The 23,859-nt window shown below is 41.5% G+C and overlaps 1 annotated feature.

Annotated features, from left to right (window-relative positions):
• Positions 16,047-16,687: an enhancer, noted in NCBI's record as "H3K4me1 hESC enhancer chrX:52028188-52028851 (GRCh37/hg19 assembly coordinates)". NCBI's record gives its function as "activates a minimal SCP1, AML or CMV promoter by ChIP-STARR-seq in primed H9 embryonic stem cells {active_cell/tissue: H9 hESC(primed)}" and the evidence as "EXISTENCE:reporter gene assay evidence [ECO:0000049][PMID:30033119]".

The following is a 23,859-nucleotide window of genomic DNA, read 5'->3' as shown; positions in this document are numbered from 1 at the left end:
TGCTGATCTTGCTTTTGCTGTGTCTGTAATATACTGTTTGGATCCATCTGGGCTCAATTATTTTCTTACTGGCCGAATCTATGGAAGTGTGACAAGCCAACCTGACAATTGCAGTAGTGATCCTTGTGGCCCTGTTAGCCACTGCAATGCTGCTTAGAAACTGACTGATCACTTGGCAGCCAGAATATTTTATTTCCCTTGACATCACACAGAACAAGAAGTTCTCAGCACATATCATGACTTAGGGCAGACTTTGCCAGACTTCGGTTATTAGAATAGATGCCATGTCCTACACCAGCTACATTGCTATTAAATGATTTATTTAAAGTTTATGAACTCAAATTCATTTAAAAAAGGTAACCTCATATTCCTACTCAAAATTCAAAAGCAGTATGACCTATTAGAGATCTAACTGTGAAAGTAAATGACATAAAAATTTTTCAAAATGTAAATGAAGTCTACGGTCTTACCACCTTACTGATCTCATCTGAAAATTTAAATGAAAAAAATAAAGAAAACTAAAGGATGTGAAGGGTAGAGGGAAGGGAAAGATAGGAGAGATTTGTTAAAGGATATAAAATAACAGCTAGATAAGAGGAATAAGTTCTAGTGTCCTATACCACTGTAGGATAACTATAGTTAACAATAACATATAGTTTCAAATAGCTAGAAGGAGGAAGGAGAATTGTCTTGGGCCACACATAAAATATATGAACACTAACAATAGCTGATGAGCTAAAAAAAAATCACAAAAAAAATCTCATAATGTTTTAAGAAAGTTTACGAATTTGTGTTGGGCTGCATTCAGAGCTGTCCTGGGGTGCATGTGGCCCTCAGGCCACAAGTTAAACAAGCTTGGTGTACCCCATAAATATGTACAATTATATGTCAATTAAAACTTTTAAAAAAAGAAAAATGGAATAAACCAAATCCATCTGCAAAGTAGTTCCTACTTCAAATGTTATCTCATTTATTCTTCATAGTAATCATTTAGTGTAAATATTCTAATTTCTACTTTAAAATTAGGGAAACAGACCAAATGAGTGTAACTTTCCCACCATCTCAAGGTCAGTGTGTAAGAGGCAGGATGGAATCCCATGGGTATTTCATGCCATAGCCTATAAGGAGACAGTGTAGGTAGGACCCAAGTCATTTCGCTTTAGCAAGTTGCCCTGGTTGCTTTCCCCTTTCTTCTACCTAGGCCCTAATTCTTTCATCCAGCTCCATAGCCTAGGGACTTCTCACATATTTTGTGGCAAATAGGATCCCCTACATTTAGTCTTACTTTTTATTTGAACCCTAGCTTTTCAGTCCTTTTGGATCAGAAAACATTTTAAAATTTCTGTAAAAGGGAGAAATAATTGCTGATTATAATCCCCTTCCCCTCCCTAAGCAGTGCAGATTCTGAGTAGGGCCCTTTGCAGCAGAATTATCTTTTGGAGGGTGATGATATGAACAGAGCTCAGAGTTGTAACTCATATATTATCTCTAGTAAGAGGGATATCAGGCTGCAATCAGGCAGCTGCAGGAGCTTCTGAATGAGATGTGGTGACTTTCAGGCTGATGGAATTACGTAGATGGAAAAAGAGGTTTGGTGCTTCTCCTTCTCCACCTCATAATTTTTAAAGAAAGGTCAGACATATTTGCAGATGTGTCATTTTTCCATGTGAAGATTCTGATATCAGTTGTTTTTTCCGAGTCCTCACAAACTGTTCCAAATGGCTTTAGTGTATTCTAGTTATATTTTTCTGTAGCACAGTAGAAGATGTCTAGCTAGCCATTCGTCTAACCTTTTTTCAAGGTTTTTAGCTTCCTTGCAATGGGTTAGAACATGCTCCTTTAGCTCGGAGAAGTTTGTTAGTACCGACCTTCTGAAGCCTACTTCTGTCAACTCATCAAAGTTATTCTCCGTCCAGCTTTGTTCCATTGCTAGCAAGGAGCTGCGATCCTTTGGAGGAGAAGAGGCACTCTGGTTTTTAGAACATTCAGCTTTTCTGCTCTGGTTTCTCCCCGTCTTTGTGGTTTTATCTACCTTTGGTCTTTGATGTTGGTGACCTACAGATGGGGTTTTGGTGTAGATGTCCTTTTTGTTGATGTTGATGCTATTCCTTTCTGTTTGTTAGTTTTCCTTCCAACAGACAGGTCCCTCAGCTACAGGTCTGTTGGAGTTTGCTGGAGGTCCGCTACAGATGCTGTTTGTCTGGGTATCACCAGCAGAGGCTGAAGAACAGCAAATATTGCTGCCTGATCCTTCCTCTGGAAGCTTCATCCCAGAGGGGCACCCAACTGCATGAGGTGTCTGTCAGTCCCTACTGGGAGGTGTCTCCCAGTTAGGCTACACAGAGGTCAGGGGCCCACTTGAGGAGGCAGTCTGTGTGTTCTCAGAGCTCAAATGCCATGCTGGGAGAACCACTGCTCTCTTCAGAGCTGTCAGGGACATTTAACTCTGCAGAAGTTTCTACTGCCTTTTGTTCAGCTATGCCCTGCCCACAGAGGTGGAGTCTATAGAGGCAGTAGGCCTTGCTGAGCTGCGGTCGGCTCTGCCCAGTTTGAGCTTCCTGGCCACTTTGTTTACCTACTCAAGCCTCAGCAATGGCAGACGTCCCTCCCCCAGCCAGGCTGCAGCCTCACAGTTTCACCTCAGACTGCTGCACTAGCAGTGAGCAAGGCTCCATGGGCGTGGGACTCACTGAGCCAGGCACAGGAGAGAATCTCCTGGTCTGCCGGTTGCTAAGACCATGGGAAAAGTGCAGTATCTGGGCAGGAGTATCCCGTTTTTCCAGGTACAGTATGTCATGGCTTTCCTTGGCTATGAAAGGGAAATCCCCCGACCCCTTGTGCTTCCTGGGTGAGGCGACACCCCGCCCTACTTCAGCTGGCCCTCCATGAGCTGCACCCACTGTTCAACCAGTCCCAATGAGATGAACCAGGTACCTCAGTTGGAAATGCAGAAATCACCCATCTTCTGGTTCAATCTCGCTGGGAGCTGCAAACTGGAGCTGTTCCTATTTGGCCATTTTGGAACAGAAAACCAAAACTGGTTAATGTTACATTTGGAATTATATAAGTGAAAAAACACAGAAAGGTCAGCACTGCATTTCTTCTTTTCTCTATTTTGCAGAAGTGCAAAAATATTTCTCTGGGCTAGTATAACCCTTTTGGAGTTGTTAAAGTAGGATAACCATTTGTCCCGAGTTTTCACCTATAGTCCTGTTGCAATTACGAGGAGTGCTTCTTTTCACACTTGAAAGCATTCCAGTTAATATAATACATCATATGGTTACTACCATCATTTTCAACATAAAAAAAATGTGGAGATATATACCATATCTCACAGTACGGCCAAAAAAAAAACGAAAAGAAAAAGAAAAAAAAAGAAAAATAAACAAATTAAATGAATGAATGAATGGAGAGAGGGAGAGGGAAATGGATAGAGAGAGTACGATACCTGCAAAAGCCAAGTATTTGTTTCTAAAAGTCAGTATTTTTGAAGAACAACTGACAAATTTCAGAAGTTCTTCCATGGTACTTGTGATGCTTAGATATTCAGGTATTACTGGGATATGTTAAAGACTATATGCTTTCCTAGCATATCAACCATTTCATCCATATTTTGAAAATATTAGAGTTCAAGAATGTATTCACTTTGGATTATACCATATATTCAATATCTGTCAGCATCTTGTTCATATTCCATGTTGAGTTTTTTCCACTTTTTTCAAGATTATGTAAATGACTTAATACTCTACTCATAGCTATTTTTTTTTGCCAGAAATTGTAATAGGTCTTTTATTTTTTATTTTTATTTATCTATTTATTTGTTTATTATTATTATTATACTTTAAGTTTTAGGGTACATGTGCACAACGTGCAGGTTAGTTACATATGTATACATGTGCCATGTCGGTGTGCTGCACCCATTAACTCGTCATTTAGCATTAGGTATATCTCCTAATGCTATCCCTCCCCCCTGCCCCCACCCCACAAAAGGCCCTGGTGTGTGATGGACCCCTACCTGGGTCCATGTGTTCCAATTGTTCAATTCCCACCTATGAGTGAGAACATGTGGTGTTTGGCTTTTTGTCCTTGCAAGAGTTTGCTGAGAATGATGGTTTCCAGCTTCATCCATGTCCCTACAAAGGACATGAACTCATCCTTTTTATGGCTGCATAGTATTCCATGGTGGATATGTGCTACATTTTCTTAATCCAGTCTATCATCGATGGACATTTGGGTTGGTTCCAAGTCTTTGCTATTGTGAATAGTGCCAGAATAAACATACGTGTGCATGTGTCTTTATAGCAGCATGATTTATAATCCTTTGGGTATATACCCAGTAATGGGATGGCTGGGTCAAATGGTATTTCTAGTTCTAGATCCCTGAGGAATCGCCACACTGACTTCCACAATGGTTGAACTAGTTTACAGTCTCACCAACAGTGTAAAAGTGTTCCTATTTCTCCACATCCTCTCCAGCACCTGTTGTTTCCTGACTTTTTAATGATAGCCATTCTAACTGGTGTGAGATGGTATCTCATTGTGGTTTTGATTTGCATTTCTCTGATGGCCAGTGATGATGAGCATTTTTTCATGTGTGTTTTGGTTGCATAAATGTCTTCTTTTGAGAAGTGTCTGTTCATATCCTTTGCCCACTTTTTGATGGGGTTGTTTGTTTTTTTCTTGTAAATTTGATGGAGTTCATTGTAGATTCTGGATATTAGCCCTTTGTCAGATGAGTAGATTGCAAAAATTTTCTCCCATTCTGTAGGGTGCCTGTTCACTCTGATGATAGTTTCTTTTGCTGTGCAGAAGCTCTTTAGTTTAATTAGATCCCATTTGTCAATTTTGGCTTTTGTTGCCATTGCTTTTGGTGTTTTAGACATGAACTCCTTGCACATGCCTATGGCCTGAATGGTATTGCCTAGGTTTTCTTCTAGGGTTTTTATGGTTTCAGATCTAACATGTAAGTCTTTAATCCATCTTGAATTAATTTTTGTACAAGGTGTAAGGAAGGGATCCAGTTTCAGCTTTCTACATATGGCTAGCCAGTTTTCCCAGTACCATTTATTAAACAGGGAATCCTTTCCCCATTTCTTGTTTTTGTCAGGTTTGTCAAAGATCAGATAGTTGTAGATACGCGGCATTATTTCTGAGGGCTCTGTTCTGTTCCCTTGATCTATATCTCTGTTTTGGTACCAGTACCATGCTGTTTTGGTTACTGTAGCTTTGTACTATAGTTTGAAGTCAGGTAGCGTGATGCCTCCAGCTTTGTTCTTTTGGCTTAGGATTGACTTGGCAATGTGGGCTCTTTTTCAGTTCCACGTGAACTTTAAAGTACTTTTTTCCTATTCTGTGAAGAAAGTCATTGGTAGCTTGATGGGGATGGCATTGAATCTATAAATTACCTTTGACAGTATGGCCATTTTCATGATATTGATTCTTCCTACCCATGAGCATGGAATGTTCTTCCATTTGTTTATATCCTCTTTTACTTCATTGAGCAGTGGTTTGTAGTTCTCCTTGAAGAGGTTCTTCACGTCCCTTGTAAGTTGGATTCCTAGGTATTTGATTCTCTTTGAAGCAATTGTGAATGGGAGTTCACTCATGATTTGGCTCTCTGTTTGTCTGTTATTGGTGTATAGGAATGCTTGTGATTTTTGCACATTGATTTTCTATCCTGAGACTTTGCTAAAGTTGCTTATCAGTTTAAGGAGATTTTGGGCTGAGATGATGGGGTTTTCTAGATATACAATCATATCATCTGCAAACAGGGACAATTTGACTTCCTCTTTTCCTAATTGAATACCTTTTATTTCTTTCTCCTGCCTGATTGCCCTGGCCAGAACTTCCAACACTATGTTGAATAGGAGTGGTGAGAGAGGGCATCCCTGTCTTTTGCCAATTTTCAAAGGGAATGCTTCCAGTTTTTGCCCATTCAGTATGATATTGGCTGTGGGTTTGTCATAGATAGCTCTTATTATTTTAAGATACGTCCCATCAATACCTAATTTATTGAGAGTTTTTAGCATGAAGGGCTGTTGAATTTTGTCAAAGGCCTTTTCTGCATCTATTGAGATAATCATATGGTTTTTGTGTTTGGTTCTGTTTATATGCTGGATTACATTTATTGATTTGTGTATGTTGAACCACCCTTGCATCCCAGGGATGAAGCCCACTTGATCATTGTGGATAAGCTTTTTGATGTGCTGCTGGATTCGGTTTGCCAGTATTTTATTGAGAATTTTTGCATCAATGTTCATCAGGGATATTGGTCTAAAATTCTCTTTTTTTTGTTGTGTCTCTGCCAGGCTTTGGTATCAGGTTGATGCTGGCCTCAAAAAATGAGTTAGAGAAGATTCCCTCTTTTTCTATTGATTGGAATAGTTTCAGAAGGAATGGTACCAGCTCCTCTTTGTACCTCTGGAAGAATTCAGCTGTGAATCCATCTGGTCCTGGACTTTTTTTGGTTGGTAAGCCGTTAATTATTGCCACAATTTCAGAGCCTGTTATTGGTCTATTCAGAGATTCAACTTCTTCCTGGTTTCGTCTTGGGAGGGTGTATGTGTCCAGGAATTTATCCATTTCTTCTAGATTTTCTAGTTTATTTGCATAGATGTGTATATAGTATTCTTTCATCGTAGTTTGTATTTCTGTGGGATCGGTGGTGATATCCCCTTTATCATTTTTTATTGCATCTATTTGATTCTTCTCTCTTTTCTATTAGTCTTGCTAGTGGTCTATCAATTTTGTTGATCTTTCCAAAAAAGCAGCTCCTGGATTCATTGATTTTTGAAGGGTTTTGTGTGTCTCTATTTCCTTCAGTTCTGCTCTGATCTTACATTATTTCTTGCCTTCTGCTAGCTTTTGAATGTGTTTGCTCTTGCTTCTCTAGTTCTTTTAATTGTGATGTTAGGGTGTCAATCTTGGATCTTTCCTGCTTTCTCTTGTGGGCATTTAGTGCTATAAATTTCCCTCTATACACTGCTTTGAATGTGTCCCAGAGATGCTGGGATGTTGTGTCTTTGTTCTCATTGGTTTCAAAGAACATCTTTATTTCTGCCTTCATTTCGTTATGTACCCAGTAGTCATTCAGGAGCAGGTTGTTCAGTTTCCATGTAGTTGAGCAGTTTTGAGTGAGTTTCTTAATCCTGAGTTCTAGTTTGATTGCACTGTGTTCTGAGAGACAGTTTGTTATAATTTCTGTTCTTTTACATTTGCTGAGGAGTGCTTTACTTCCAACTGTGTGGTCAATTTTGGAATAAGTGTGGTGTGGTGCTGAGAAGAATGTATATTCTATTGATTTGGGGTGGAGAGTTCTGTAGATGTCTATTAGGTCTGCTTGATGCAGAGCTGAGTTCAATTCGTGGATATCCTTGTTAACTTTCTGTCTCATTGATCTGTCTAATGTTGACAGTGGGGTGTTAAAGTCTCCCATTATTATTATGTGGGAGTCTAAGTCTCTTTGTAGGTCTCTAAGTACTTGCTTTATGAATCTGGGTGCTCCTGTATTGTGTGCATATATATTTAGGATAGCTAGCTCTTCTTGTTGAATTGATCCCTTTACCATTATGTAATGGCCTTCTTTGTCTCTTTTGATCTTTGTTGGTTTAAAATGTGTTTTATCAGAGACTAGGATTGAAAGCCCTGCCTTTTTCAGTTTTCCATTTGCTTGGTAGATCTTCCTCCATCCCTTTATTTTGAGCCTATGTGTGTTTCTGCATGTGAGATGGGTTTCCTGAATACAGCACACTGATGGGTCTTGACTCCTTATCCAATTTGCCAGTCTGTGTGTTTTAATTGGAGCATTTAGTCCATTTACATTTAAGGTTTATATTGTTATGTGTGAATTTGATCCTGTCATTATGATATTAGCTGGTTATTTTGCTCTTTAGTTGATGCAGTTTCTTCCTAGCCTCGATGGTTTTTATAATTTGGCATGTTTTTGCAGTGGCTGGTACTGGTTGTTCCTTTCCATGTTTAATGCTTCCTTTAGGAGCTCTTTTAGGGCAGGCCTGGTGGTGATAAAATCTCTCAGCATTTGCTTGTCTGTAAAGGATTTTATTTCTCCTTCACTTATGAAGCTTAGTTTGGCTGGATATGAAATTCTGGGTTGAAAATTCTTTTCTTTAAGAATGTTGTATATTGGCCCCCACTCTCTTCTGGCTTGTAGAGTTTCTGCCGAGAGAGCAGCTGTTAGTCTGATGGGCTTCCCTTTGTGTGTAACCCGACCTTTCTCTCTGGCTGCCCTTAACATTTTTTTCCTGCATTTCAACTTTGGTGAATCTGACAATTATGTGTCTTGGAGTTGCTCTTCTCAAGGAGTATCTTTGTGGCGTTCTCTGTATTTCCTGAATTTGAATGTTGGCCTGCCTTGCTAGATTGCGGAAGTTCTCCTGGATAATATCCTGCAGAGTGTTTTCCATCTTGGTTCCTTTCTCCCCATCACTTTCAGGTACACCAATCAGACATAGATTTGGTCTTTTCACATAGTCCCATATTTCTTGGAGGCTTTGTCGTTTCTTTTTATTCTTTTTTCTCTAAACTTCTCTTCTTGCTTCATTTCATTCATTTGATCTTCCATCACTGATACCCTTTCTTCCAGTTGATCGAATCGTCTACTGAGGTTTGTGCATTCGTCACGTAGTTCTTGAGCCTTGGTTTTCAGCTCCATCAGCTGCTTTACGGACTTCTCTGCATTGGTTATTCTAGTTAGCCATTCGTCTAATTTTTTTTCAAGGTTTTTAACTTCTTTGCCATGGGTTCGAACTTCCTCCTTTAGCTCAGAGTAGTTTGATCATCTGAAGCCTTCTTCTCTCAACTCATCAAAGTCATTCTCCGTCCAGCTTTGTTCTGTTGCTGGTGAGGAGCTGCGTTCCTTTGGAGGAGGAGAGGCACTCAGATTTTTAGAGTTTCCAGTTTTTCTGCTCTGTTTTTCTCGCCATCTTTGTGGTTTTATCTACCTTTGGTCTTTGATGATGGTGACGTACAGATGGGGTTTTGGTGTGGATGTCCTTTCTGTTTGTTAGTTTTCCTTCTAACAGTCAGGACCCTCAGCTGCAGGTCTGTTGGAGTTTGCTGGAGGTCCACTCCAGGCCCCGTTTGCCTGGGTATCAGCAGCAGAGGCTGCAGAACAGTGAATACCGGTGAGCAGCAAATGTAGCTGCCTGATTGTTCCTGTGGGAGCTTTGTCTCAGAAGAGTACCCGGCCGTGTGAGGTGTCAGTCTGCCCCTACTGGGGGGTGCCTCCCAGTAGGGCTACTCGGGGGTCAGGGATCCACTTGAGGAGGCAGTCTGTCCGTTCTCAGATCTCCTAGTGCATGTTGGGAGAACCACTACTCTCTTCAAAGCTGTCAGATAGGGACATTTAAGTTTGCAGAGGATTCTGCTGCCTTTTGTTTGGCTATGCCCTGCCCCCAGAGGTGGAGTCTACAGAGGCAGGCAGGCCTCCTTGAGCTGTGGTGGGCTCCACCCAGTTTGACCTTCCTGGCCGCTTTGTTTACCTACTCAAGCTTCGGAAATGGTTGGTGCCCCTCCCCCAGCCTCACTGCTGCCTTGTGGTTTGATCTCAGACTGCTGTGCTGGCAATGAGTGAGGCTCCGTGGGCATAGGACCCTCCGAGCCATGTGCAGGATATAATCTCCTGGTGTGCCGTTTGCTACGACCATTGGAAAAGCGCAGTATTAGGGTGGGAGTGACCCGATTTTCCAGGTGCCGTCTGTCACCCCTTTCTTTGACTAGGAAAGGGAATTCCCTGGCCCCTTGCGCTTCCCAGTTGAGGCGATGCCTCACCCTGCTTTGGCTCAAGCTGGGTGCACTGCACCCGCTGTCCTGCACCCACTGTCTGACAATCCCCAGTGAGATGATCCCGGTACCTCAGTTGGAAATGCAGAAATCCCTGTCTTCTGCATCACTCACGCTGGGAGCTCTAGACTGGAGCTGTTCCTATTTGGCCATCTTGCCTCCACCTCATAGCTATTTCTAAAAAGAGTAATCTTTTTAAAATTTACTAGTTGGATTACTTTTCTTTTTACTAATAATTCATACATGTCTTTTATTAAGTACCTCTTTCCTTTCCCCTTAGGTTTGTTCTGTTGCTACTGTATCATTATTTTTATATTGGATGTTCATGTAATTTATCTGTTTTAATAACATACACATTTAAAGGCTATGATCTTCCTAAGAGTGCATTTTAGCCATATTCAGATGGCTGCTTGAAGTGGTCTGAAAACTATCTTTTAATTTAAGTCATCTGATGGAATGGTTCAGCAGTGTAGAGCAAAAACATTTAGAAGACTAATGCAAGGTAATTTTTTCCCTAAACATCAAATGCTTCCTTTAAATGCAGAATCTTCTGTAATGAACAGTCAGCAATTTGGAAAACATGCAACACATACTTATGTTGACTACTCGTGAATTACTATGTTATGGTCTTTGAATCTCAGATCCTATCAATGGATGTCTCAAGGCAGAAACTTGTAATATGTAACATATGATATATAGAGGTGATTATATCATATACACGTCTATAGTCTAATTAGAAATAGTAGCTCATAAAGACAGAGAGTAGAGTAGGGAGAGTGCTTAGTACAGATATCTTACACCTACCTTGGGCCTTACTGACCTCCATGCACTCTCCCTAACTCATCAGTGACAGAAACTAGAAACTAGACTATCTCTTGCCATTTGATTATTTGGTCATTTGAAGCTTCACTGGGGGAAGAACTTAAAGAGCAATTATTCTTTAAGAGCCAGAGAATTCAAAAGTTGATAAGATCCAAGAACAGTCATTCAGGTCTCCATAAACAAAAACAAACATTAAGCAGAGTGCACACTCATTTTCTTAGGAGCAATCAAATCTCAATTCAGATAGTATACCTTGACTCAAGCTGATATTTTATGATAAACCAACCATGGAAAACAGAATATCTTTGTATTCTATCCAAAAGAACCAGAGAATACAGAAATCAGTATCGAAACTGATTTTAAAACATCTGGTTTGAATTCATTATTTTCAAAAAGCACAAAGATAGGTGTATAATTTATGGGATTCATCCAGAATCTCACAAATTATAGCAGAGCTAGTACTACAATCTCCTTCAGGGCTCAGCATATTTCACACAAACTGGTATTACAAATGCATTCTGTGTTTGTTAAAAGTAGAAATAAGAAAAGAATCTGAAAATTGTTAACTGTTATACTCAAAGGTAAGAAAATGGTTGCATATTTTATGACTCAATATGGCTTTGATCCAATTTGTTTCTGTATATGACAGTGTATTAGTCAGGTAACCAGGCATTTGGGATCAGAATTACCTTTCAAAGACCATTTGTAATTGAACTCTGTTATCGAAGTAGCAGTGTCATTATCAGTATATTATTATATATAATCTTGTAGAAAACAAATTCACATAATTTTGCATCTTAATGAACAATGTGCCTGCTCCTGGCACTCAAGCAGGCTCTATATTTGACACAAACTCCCCCTTTATATCAGTACCATATCCATGTTTACCTCCATTCATCATTTGAGACAGTTCCTCAAGATTGGCTTCCAGGTCAGTTCCTTAAAAATGAAAAGATTATCAGTGACCAAACTACCAAAAGTGATCTACAGTTCAAGGCAATTTTTATTGAAATGTCAATTACATTCTTCACAGAAATGAAAAAAACATCCTAAAATTCATATGGAACCAAAGAAGACCCCAAATAGCCAAAGCCATCCTGGGCAAAAAGAAAAAAGCTGGAAACATCACACTACCTGACTTCAAAATATTCCACAAAGCCAGAGTAACCAAAACATCATGGTGCTTGCATAACACCATGCCACACACAGACCAGTGGAACAGAATAGAGAATCTGGATTTACATCCACATATTTAAAGCCAAGTGATTTTTCATGAAAGCAGCAAAAACATTCGGTGGGGAAAGGAAAGTTTCTTCAATAAGTGGTGCAGGGAACACTAGATATTCCAGTGCAGAAAAATGAAACTAGACCCCTATCTCTTACCATATAAAAAAGCCAACTCAAGTTGGATTAAAGAATTTAATATAAGACTTGAAACTAAGAAAATACTAGAAGAAAACACTGGGAAAATGCTTCAAGACATTGGTCTGGGCAAACATTTTTTGCTTAAGACCTTAAAAGCAAAACCAAAGCACAAATAGACAAATGGGATTATATCAAGCTAAAAACCTTCTGCACAGCAAAGGAAACAGTCAACAGAGTGAAAAGGCAACCTACAGAATTGGAGAAAATATTTGCAAACTATCCACCTGACAAATAATTAATAACCAGAATATATAAGAAACTCAAACAACTCAATAGCAACAAAACCAAGTAATCCAATTAAAAATGGCAAAGATCTGAATAGAAATTTCTCAAAAAAAAGACACACCAACAGCCAACAGGAATATGAAAAAATGCTCAATATTACAAAATGTCACAGGATCATCAGGTGTCACATTTCCAGATGGAAACCTCTGTGGCCAATGGCGCTTTTGTCCGAGTTTTGCTTGGGTCTGCTGGGGCTCACTCTGCCCATTCGGCCTGGGAGGCTGTGTTCAGCTCACACTACCAGTCCAGATTCCAGGCCTGCCAAGGGCAAGACAGGCATAGAGCAGTGAGGGGTGCATGAGCAAGTGAACACAGGGTCCGGCCACTGTTCACAGCCAGGCATGCCAGCTGCTGCAGCAGGGGAGGCAGTGCCAGTCACTGGCACAGGTGCTAGCTCCATGCAAGCCTGCAACTGGATCAGATGCACCAGAAGTGGCTTCTGCTGCAGGCACCTGTGTCTGCATGAGGGGAACACAGTGCCACCTGGAAGTTTGGAGATACCAGAAACTGCAAGCCCCAAAGAGGGTGTCATAGCCCTGGCTTGGAAAGCACCTAGGTCTGGGCTCCCCGAAGAGCCACAACTCTTCCCTCATTCTTGTCACCCACAATGTGGCAAGTGGAAGGGCGTGTTTTAGCCCTGTTTGTGTTACAACTTTTTCAGTCCTGCCATTCAGTGGGTGGATCCTGAGTTCTTGTCCCATGTCCAGGAATAACAAGGTACACAGACAACTAGAGGGTGAGCAAGGCAGAGAGGAGTTTTATTGAGCCACAGAGCAGCTTTCAGGAGACCCAAAGTAGGTAGCTCCTTTCTGCAAGCAGGTCATCCTGACGAGTTTCCAGCTTTCAGTGGAGAGGAGACCCATAGTGGGTAGCTTCTTTCCACAGGCAGGTAGTCCTGATGAGTGCAACCCTCAGCAGAGAGGAGACCTGGAGTGGGTAGCTCTTATCCGCAGGCAGGTTGTCCCAACAAGTGTCTAGTCTAGCTAGCAGCAAGGAGACCCAGGGTGGGCAGCTCCTTTCTACAGGCAGGTCATCCCAACGAGTTTCCAGCTTTCAGTGGAGGGGAGACCCATAGTGGGTAGCTTCTTTCCACAGGCAGGTAGTCCTGATGAGTGCAGCCCTCAGCAGAGAGGAGACCTGGAGTGGGTAGCTCCTATCCGCAGGCAGGTTGTCCCAACAAGTCCAACAAGTGTCTAGCTAGCAGCAAGGAGACCCAGGGTGGGCAGCTCCTTTCTACAGGCAGGTCATCCCAACAAGTGTCCAGCTGTCAGAAGAGAGGAGACCCATAGTGGGTAGCTCCTTTCTGCAGGTAGGTAGACCTGACAAGTGCAGCCCTCACCAGAGAGAAGATCTGGAGTGGTAGCTCCTATCTGCACACAGGTTGTCCCAATGAGTGTCCAGCTCTCAGTGGAGAGGAGTTCTATAGTGGGTAGCTCCTTTCCGCAGGCAGGTAGTCCTGATGTCTGTATGAGTCTGGCTGAGTCTGGGGTTTTTATGGGCTTAGAAGGGAGGAAGCATGTGCAGACTGGTTCATGGGCAGTCATGGGCAGGCCCAGAAAAAGCTCCATAAGTTTTCATTCCAGGCCACAGACTCCACCCAGAACAGGCAGCTTGGCCCGCAGGCTTCATTCAGGCCACCCATGGCTTGAAAGTGGGACTTCACAACAGACCTGCCCCTTTCTGCCCAGGAACCTGTCTGCCTCCTACTGCCATCAACATGCCATCAATGCTTCCCAGGCTGTTTGTGCAGAGGGGACTGTTTGGTGCTGCAGGCCTGCACCAAGCCACCCTCAGCACCCCTGGCCTCCCTCCCACTCTCATCAGTGCCCAAAGTCCAGAGGGGCCTGAGGGAGCAAGGCTCCTGCCCATTCCCAGCACCAACCAGCTCCAGGGAGTGCACAGCCATTGCTGAGCCTTCCCTGTTGCAGCCAGTGTTTTCACAGCAGCCACTCCAGATGGGCTGCCACTGCCATCACAATCTTCAGAGAAATGCATATTAAAACCACAGTGAGATATCATCTCATCCCAGTTAAAATGGCTATTATCAAAAAGACACAAAATAGCAGATGCTAGAGAGGATACAGACTAAGGGGAATGCTGGTACACTGCTGGTGGGCATGCAAATTTCCACTACGGAAAACAGTATGGAGGTTACTCAAAATAGAAAAAATAGATCTACCATATGATCCAGCATTCTGAATACTGGGTATATATCCAAAAGGAAGGAAATCAGTATATAGAAGAGATACCTGCATGTCGATGTTTATTGCAGCAGTATTCACAATGGCCAAGATATGGAGTCAAACTAAGTGTCCATCAATGGACAAATGGATAAAGAAAATATGGTATATATACACAATGGAATACTATTCAGCCATAAAAATAAATGAAATCCTGTCATTTGCAGTAACATAGATGGAGCTGGAGGTCATTATGTTAAATAAAATAAGTTAGAAAGAATAAAAAGGATCTAGTATTTGACATTACAACAGGGTGACTATAGTCAATAATAATGTAATGGCATTTTAAAAATAACTAAAAGAGTATAACCAGATTGTTTGTAACACAAAGGATAAATGCTTAAGGTGATGGATACCCCATTTATCCTGATGTGATTATTACATATTGTATGCCTGTATCAAAATATTCTATATACCCCCCAAATATATGCACCTACTATGTACCCACAAAAATTAAAAATTTTAAAAAGTCATATTTAGGTCCAAAAGCCCTATAAGTAACATTTCATAAATGAATCCTATGTGAAACAAAGTACCAGAAATAATAGCAAAATTAATTGTGACTAACAGTGAATTTACTGTCTTGAAGTGAGAATAAGGAAGTAGGGTGGGAAGAAATTAATGGGCATTGTTGTCAGTCATGTTTTGGAAACTCCTTAACAGTGAATTGCTAAAATAATCCATGGACCAAATTATGTAAATGTTTAGTTTGGAAATACTATATTTTGAGGAAATAATCTCTGTTTCATGATAATCTTATGATACTTTTGATTTTTCTAATTATGAAAGTATTTAAACAACTTTTAAAAAGCCTCTTAAAGTCATAGTGATATAACTACTTATAGGTCAGTATCTTGAATTGTCCAGCTTTTACCAAATTTACTGCAAAAAATATCAACCAAAGGACAATGGCCATCATTCACTGAGCTCTTTTCTGGAGTCTCTTCATTGAACTGTGTCTTTTCCTGAGCCAGTACTGAGCTACCTTACAGTGCAGACACATTTGATCATTAAGCATTTTAAGCAAAACCATTCACTTTTTACTTACAAAAACAGAGAGGGGAAAAATACTATTTAGGGAATGAAGTACCAATCTATCCCAACCAGTCAAGTGCTCTTTAGTAAGACACGATCTCAGAGTCTGAGTTGTCTCATTTAGAAAGGAGTTAAAAACGCCATGTAAACAGGCCTTATCCTAGGTGTTATAAGTGTGTTGACTTGGCACGCTATACGTTTTATTAAAAGATGCTTATGTTTTTGATGCAATAACTAAGAGATAGTGCACAATTTTATGACTAATATTAAACATTGTTTTCTTGGATTTGCTAATATAGAACACTGATGAGAAAGGTATTTTCAAACACAGAAAATAAGTCTCAAGGAAAAAGGGAAATTCTTTATAGTGAGGGACTGCACAAAACTGCATACTATACTCTTCACTTTTCCAGCCAACTTTCAGGAAATGTTTGAGATCCTTTCTTAATGTTTTCTTTCCTCCTGTTACTAGTTATGGCATAATGCATGATGAACATATAGGCCTCCTCTCTCTCCACCACAGACATTCCTTCTTTTCCTTCCCAGCACCTTAAATCTCAGCTGCACCCTGATCTTCTCTCTCACTTGGCTCCTGGGACTAGCGTTGTATGTATGTGTGCCCGCACGCGTGTGTGCGCAAATAAAAAGTTTTGTTATTAATACATGTCAATAATATAAGTATACAGAATATATAGATATTTCTAATCCTAAGTAAGTCTAAAGACATTTCTCCAACATGATTCCATATGATGGCAGGGGCAGGGGTGGCCCATCTGGAGCAGCAGCTGCCATCATACTGGCTGCAGCACGGCCCGGCCTCCTGTTCCACAGAGCAGGCAGGAGCCCTGCCCCCTGTATGGCTGCAGCTGCTCTACTGTGGCTCCAGATCTGGGTGTCTCTGGGCTCTAGGGGGCCAAGGAAAGGCGCCCCCCGGCAGGTTTGGAAGTGCCTGCTCCCACTGCCTGGTTTCTCCGCACTGTCAGCGTCCACTCCGATCTCAGAGGCATGGCCGGGGCTGCACACTGCATGAAACTGGTGGGAGCCAAGGACAAGTGGGAGCCAGGGACAAGCAGGAGCCTCGCCTCTTCCAAGTTGGTGGGACGGGAGCTGCCCAGGTGCAGCTGCAGCCTGCCGAGCTCGGCTTTGGACCTAGGCATATCTGTGCTCTTGGGAGCCCTGGACGGCCCCTGTTCCCCCGCTCAGAAGTGCCTGTTCCCACTGCCTGGCCTCTCCCTACTCCCAGTGCCCGCTCTGATTGTGGAGCAAGGTTGGGGCCGCCTGGGCACTGTCACAGCCCGGCTGGGTGGATGCACGCTCAGGGTAGTGCTGACCTGCCAGACACCTTTTGCCTGAGTCCCCCAGGCTTTGGGCACCAATGAACACAGGAGGGAAATGGAGTCGGGGGGCGGAAGGAAGTTCAGCACTGGCCTGCAGGCAGCCCTTGGCACAAACAGTCTGGGAGCCATGAATGGTGGTAGGAGTCCGACAGGCTTCTGGGCAGAAGGGGGGTCCCTGGTGAAACGCCACCTTTAGGCCCGGAAAGGCCTGAAGCCTGGGATCCAGGCTGCCATTCCTGCGGACTGGAGGGGGAACTCATGGTGCTTTTTACCAGGCCTGCCCACGGCTGCCCATGGACCAATCAGCATGCACTTTCTCCCTGAAGCCCATACAAACCCCAGATTCTGCCAGAGCAGCAGACTTCAGGACGACCAGTTGCAGAGGGGAGCTACCCTCTTCAGAGCCTTCTCTCTGCTGAGAGCTGCAGACAACAGGATGACAAGCTGCAGAAAGGAGCCACCCTCTATGCTGAGAGGTGAACACTCATCAGGACGACCTGTCTGCAGAGAGGAGCCACTCACTCCAGGCCTCCTCTTTGCTGAGAGCTGAACACTGTATGATAGGAGGAACTACGTACAGAGAGGAGCTACACACTGCAGGTCTCCTCTGAGCTGTTCTAACACTCAATAAAGCTCTTTTTCATCTTGCTCACTCTCCACTTGTCTGCCTACCTCCTTCTTCCTGGACACAAGACAAGAACTTGGGCAAAGATGCCACCAGCCGCAGAGGTTTCTGGCCAGAAAAGCAACACCCCATAGATCCCACAAAACATATACTTATTCTTCATAAAGTTACTCTTCCCATGGAGAGGTTACTCTAAGACAGAGACACCCTCAAGGGTTTTAGAAGTCATTTTAACCTCTGTTGGGATAGATGTGTGCAATCTGTTATCAATAAGCATGAGGAGGGAGTCATGGGCAAAATCTGGGAAACACAAGATCATTCATCTAGGCAAAGCCAGAACATAATCCTCTTAGATTAGTCTTTCCTTCATGAGATGCCATGATCATTTTTTATCAGCATGGAAGATCTTTATCAGTGTATCTATACTAGTTCAACAACACTATTACAAAAAGAAATTTCAGCTAATAGAAAATATCAAATGTTAAAGTACGCACAACCACAGGCCTATCAGGCTGAGAAGATTCTTGTCCATTTCTTCTTGGTTAAGGCCTGTATGCTAATCTTCCTCACCCACTCACATTTCACACTCAAATCAGTTCTCACCAGAGGACTCTGTGACTATAAAAGTTTACACCTTCAGCAGCTCAAAACAGCCATCTTCACTGATACCTTCTTGCAGTCATTTATGATAAGAACTTGGCATCTGCTGCCAAAGGCTCTGCCACCACAAACACTCTTCCTTGCAAGACCAATTGACTGGCTGGCCCAGACCAGGATTCCTTTTGTCTTCTTCATTCCACCTAGACAGATTCCTTAATCCTTTATCTTATCTCTTTTTCTTCTTGATGGTAAATTTTACTTTGTTTGTTGTGGAGTGTTTAACCTATAACACTTGCATATTGATTTGGCATACTGTTATGTATGGTTTGCAATACTGACTGACTTGTGGAGTGGCTTAAGCTTGTGTGCCTGTGGCTCTGACTACTAAGTGAACAGGAAGAACTAAGGGGAAGCGTCTCCTTGGGAACTCCATGTAGTTCATGGCTTTTGTGATTGGATAGCATCAATAAAAACCTGATATTGTTGAAAGACACAAGCATGCATGGACCTGGTTATTTCTAATCCAGTACTTCTCATGATAAGCTGGCATAGTCAGCTTACTGGGCACAACTGGCACAGTTGGCTTACTTGGCATAATTGGTGTACTCAATTTTAAGGCCAAAGCCCCCACTAAAACTTCCATTGGAAATCACGCCATTTGACAAAACAAACTGCCATGCTCTCTGACAGCAGACATAATCTCGCCTCACCTTGAAAGCCTGGCTACTTGAGGAAAACCTTGGGTGATAAGACAACTTGCTCAAGTTGTGAAGATCCAACGGCTGACAAGGTCTTGGTTGATGCCAAGCTAGGAAGCTGGGGGAGCCAGGAATGCTCACATCAAGCAGGTCTCAATTTATGGGATGCTGACTGGCAAAACAAATTTTTAATTTGGCCAAAAGAAAGTCAATTATTACATAACCTCCACTCAGACAGTCGGTTAAGGTGGGAAATTGAAATATTATTAAGAAACTATATAAAGTAGCTACTAATATGGCATAATGTGGGTTCTAGTTAAGAAAATTAAGCAGGCATGCCAGAGGGCTCATCGCCCAAATACAGTACTTAGTGTTGAGAGTCCTTGGTACCCAACAGAGTTGGAAGTCAGAAAGAGTCCCTGTAGGATCCCCCAAGGATGTATGGTCAGACTTGAGGGACCTGACAAAATGTTAAGCCTTTAATTACCAGAGCCCCCAGAGAAGAAATCCCTGCACTTTTTTTGAGACATACACAACTTTATTTAATAATCTGTAAAAAGTCATACTCTGGCAGAGTGATACATTCCTTATCTCAGCAGAAAGCAAACAATGTGTCTGACAAGCCTCTTCCCAAGATTCGAAAATGTAACTCTGAGCTTACATTTCAATGCTCCCAAGAGCTAGGCTTTTGAAGAAATTCCTGCACTTTTAATGCAAAGTAGCTCACAGATATACAGGGGTCCTCAGAAAGCCAAAGAGCTAGCTCACAGAATTTTAAGGAAAAGTAAATCCCTTTCAGATGTAACTTTTAAGGAGGAACCCCTGGGTCCTAAGGACCCCCAACTAGTGGACCTAGGAGAATATAATGATCCCAGAGGTGGGTGGGATATATGCAGCAAGACCTATAATAACTACAAAAAGAGTTATAGATTATAACAGTGGAAATGGCAGACCTCAGGACATCAGTGAGGACAGAGAATACACCACAGCAGAATTACAAAAACTAAGAATAAATTTTTGCCAAAGACAGACCACAGATGCAGACTGACTCCTTCCATTATGCAATAATGAAGCAAACACCACAGCACTATCAGGCACAGAAATGCATCAGATCAAAACATTAGCAGAAAACCCATCACTAAATCAGAAATTATTAGAACTAACAACAAATTATCCAACATGTGTCCTATCCATCTGGGACTGGATTACATTAGCCTGATATCTATCTACCCAATATTTAAACCCAACAAAATTTGGTGATGGACTTAAATGGACTGATCTAACACAGGCACAAAAGGATACAAGAAAATTATCTATCTTAGGAATTATAAATGATGGATATAATCAATATACCATTCCATCTGAAATTCCAGCTACAAATGAAATTGAAAGAGCACTTACAGGAGCACCACCTAACCTAAAAGTCTCCTACATTAATTCTCTCTCAGCATGAAGAACCATAGAAAGTATACTAGAAAATTTTCAACTTTCTGCCGAATTATCAGGAACTCACAAGGTAACATTTATGGCAAACCTGATTTAAAAAAACACCAAGAGATAATCTCAGGAAGGCACCAAAATTCTTTACATTTAATACATAAGTCTGAATGTTTATTCAAAACAGACCTGGAGGACCTTGGAAAAATAAACCAAGGCAGACAAGTTGGCAACCCAGGCAAAATAACTGGCAACTAAGGCCACAAGGACCAAACTGGTGTTAGGTACAGTAAGTTCCTCTTCAAAAAGTCAGCTTGGTCAACTTCTTTGTTCTTTGTTCTCTATTTTCAAAGCCTAACTTCCTCATTCTTTGTGCCTCCTTGCCCCTAGTTACAGTAAACAACCTTCCAGCCAGTTCTAATCAATAATTCACACCTGTTCCCTTGGTTACCCACTCTGCAACTGCAACTATTCTTCCCGCCAAAACCACCAGTCCCAGCCTGTAACTCACATCCCCCTTCCCTTCCCTTATTTGGGAAAATATTCACAAATAGCCAATCAAGTCAGCTTAGATTGTGCGGTCTGACCCCAGCCCATGGGGGAGTGACACAGAGGTAGGGAGTGTGTTAGGGATAAAAACCCCTTCCCTCCTTTGTTCAGTGTGCTCTCGTAGTGGCCAGAGGTGCAAGCAGCACCCTTCTGCAGAAGTAAATTTACCTTGCTGAGAAATCCTTTGTTCGAGTGCTCGTTTTCTTTGTGACTCCAAGTTCTTATTTCCAACACTGGCAACAGGGCCATCTAAGGCCACCAGCCAGATACCAAAATAAGGTCCAAAATAATGGACCTCCCGAGGTCCAGGGCCAAACTCACAATGTCAAAAACAGCAACAACAACAGAAAAATGTTGCAAGAAAATGTTTCTCAACAAATGAGAAACCCCCTGGGTATGAACTGTAACACTCAATCCTGGGGATAATAGACCATACATACAATTAACTATACAAATTGACAAATATACACATACTTATACATTTATTTAGAAACTGAATCACAAGCTGTCTTAGATATAATGCAACAAACCTTAACACAAACATCCTCATAGAAGGACTTGGAGGAAAACTAACTTGAGGCTTCCCTATCTCTGCTTCTATATGGTTCTGTAACTCTAAACTTATACATTGCACTATTTACTATTCACCTGAACTAGAAAACATTATAGGAATGGATCGAGTTGTGAAACTTTTTAACCCATGGTGGTCTATTAAGAAACTTAGGAACTAAAATTCTCTTACATAGCACAAATTAAAATGAAGCGCATAAGACTGTCTACACCATACCAGGTTGCGTACAGTAAACAATATCCATTAAAGGGAGGACACAAAGAAATAAAAGCAAAGATTCTAGAACTTCTTAAGGAAGAACTTATTACAATTGGCATTTCAAATAACTTTAATGGTCTAGCATGGCCTGTCCTGAACCCAAATGGGAGCTATAGAATAACTATTAACTATAGAAATTTAAATAAAGTCATACCTAAAATGCCAGGAGTATTACCAGATGAAGAAGTCATTAATAAGATCACTAACTGTAATGACAAATACTGTGTAACTATAGACATGTTGGACATGTTCTTTGCCATACCAATAGACCAAGAAAGTCAGGAATATACCGCTTTTGCCTGGGAAGGCAAACAATTCCAATATAAAATATTACCACGGGGATATTTAAGTTGTCCAGTAATAGCTCACTCCATTTTATCATCACACATAGACCAGTCAAAATACACATCACTAACAATATCATATATAGGTGACATTATAATGGTAAACAATGACCATGAAACACTTAAACAAGAAAAAAAATCTCAATAACACACTTAAGATCACTGGGATGGACTATTAATAGAGATAAAAACACAGGTCCAAACACCAATTGCAAATTTTTAGGAGTACAGTGGTCATTAAAAGGGAGAAAAATCCCCACCACAGTGGTAGATAAAATAAAAAGCCTTAAGGCACCAAAGAATACACAGGAAGCACAAAGACTTGCAGATGTATTTGGATACTGGAGACAACATATACTTCATTTAAACATCATCCTAAAACCAATATGTAAGATGACTAGGAAATCCTGACTTCACATCGGGACAAGAACAAACACAAGCACTCGAAACACTCAAAGACTACATTACCACATTCCAAACACAACATTAGCCATCTCCAGATACACAACTTAGGTTGAAAATTTTAATGAGCAATGAATATGGAACATTGTCATTATGGACAAAGAAACCAGATTCTAAATCCTTCCTACTGGTCGGATTTTGGACAACAAAATTCCCATGCTCTAAACAACAAATATAGCCCATTTGAAAAATATATATGGCTTACACATGAAGCCCTCACAAACATTGAGCCTCTGACTGGTAACAACACCATTACCATTAGATACCATATACCTCTCCTTCACTGGATAAAATTGAGTCCTGAAGAATAAATAGGTATCCAAATTGATTGCATGGAAATGGTACATCCAGGGTCGAGATACAGGCTTTAAGGGTCAACCAGGCCTCCTCACCAAGGAGATCCACAAGACTGAAATAAACTTGCTGGAATTTATTCTGAGGACAGGGACAATCCATGCAAATGTAGGTAAATGGGGCCCAGTGTAGTCTGATGTACTGTCCAACACCTGGTTTACAGAGGGATCAGCCTCCATGACCCAAAGCCAGACCCAACGGACAGCAACAGCACTCAGACCCCAGAAATAAACAATCCTGAAGGAAGCAGGTAAATCTCTCCCCACACAACATGCAGAACTGAGTGCAGCTGTCCTACCAGTCAGACACTATCAGAAAATTGAAAGAAAATTTATATTTTTACAGACTCATGGGCAGTTGCAAATGGCATAGTCCTATAGTCACATAAATGAAAACAAAATAATTTTACAATTAATGGTAAAGACATACAGTCCACATCTTACTGGAAGGAACTATATGAATTATCAAACTGAATTTAGATATTTGTGATGCATGAATCAGCACACCAAAAAGACAATTCAGAGACCACAAAATTTAATAACCAAGTAGATGCATTAACAGGGAATATAAACATTGACACTCAAAACATACCCAAATTAAAACTACACAGAAATCCAGACAACCCATGGAGACATTCATTACCACTTCTACAACTCAGGAGATAATCAGACAATGAATGTGAGATAGTACAAGTACCCCCCAATAACTATAATGAAACAGGGGTATGACTTGAAAATTAAACAGACAGCTGAGTGTGGTGGCTCAAGCCTATAATCCCAGCATTTTGTGAGGACGAGGCAGGTGGATCACGAGGTCAGGAGTTCGAGATCAGCTTGACCAACATGGTGAAACCCTGTCTCTACTAAGAACACACAAAAAAATTAGCCAGGCGTGGTGGCACTTGCCTGTAATCCTAGCTACTCAGGAGGCTGAGACGAGAATCGCTTGAACCCGGGAGGCAGAGGTTGCAGTGAGCTGAGATCGTGCCACTGCACGCCAGCCTGGGCAACAGACCG

Source organism: Homo sapiens, chromosome X (genome assembly GCF_000001405.40).
Source record: "Homo sapiens chromosome X, GRCh38.p14 Primary Assembly".
Taxonomy (NCBI): domain Eukaryota; kingdom Metazoa; phylum Chordata; class Mammalia; order Primates; family Hominidae; genus Homo; species Homo sapiens.
This window is presented reverse-complemented; position numbering and strand designations above follow the sequence as displayed.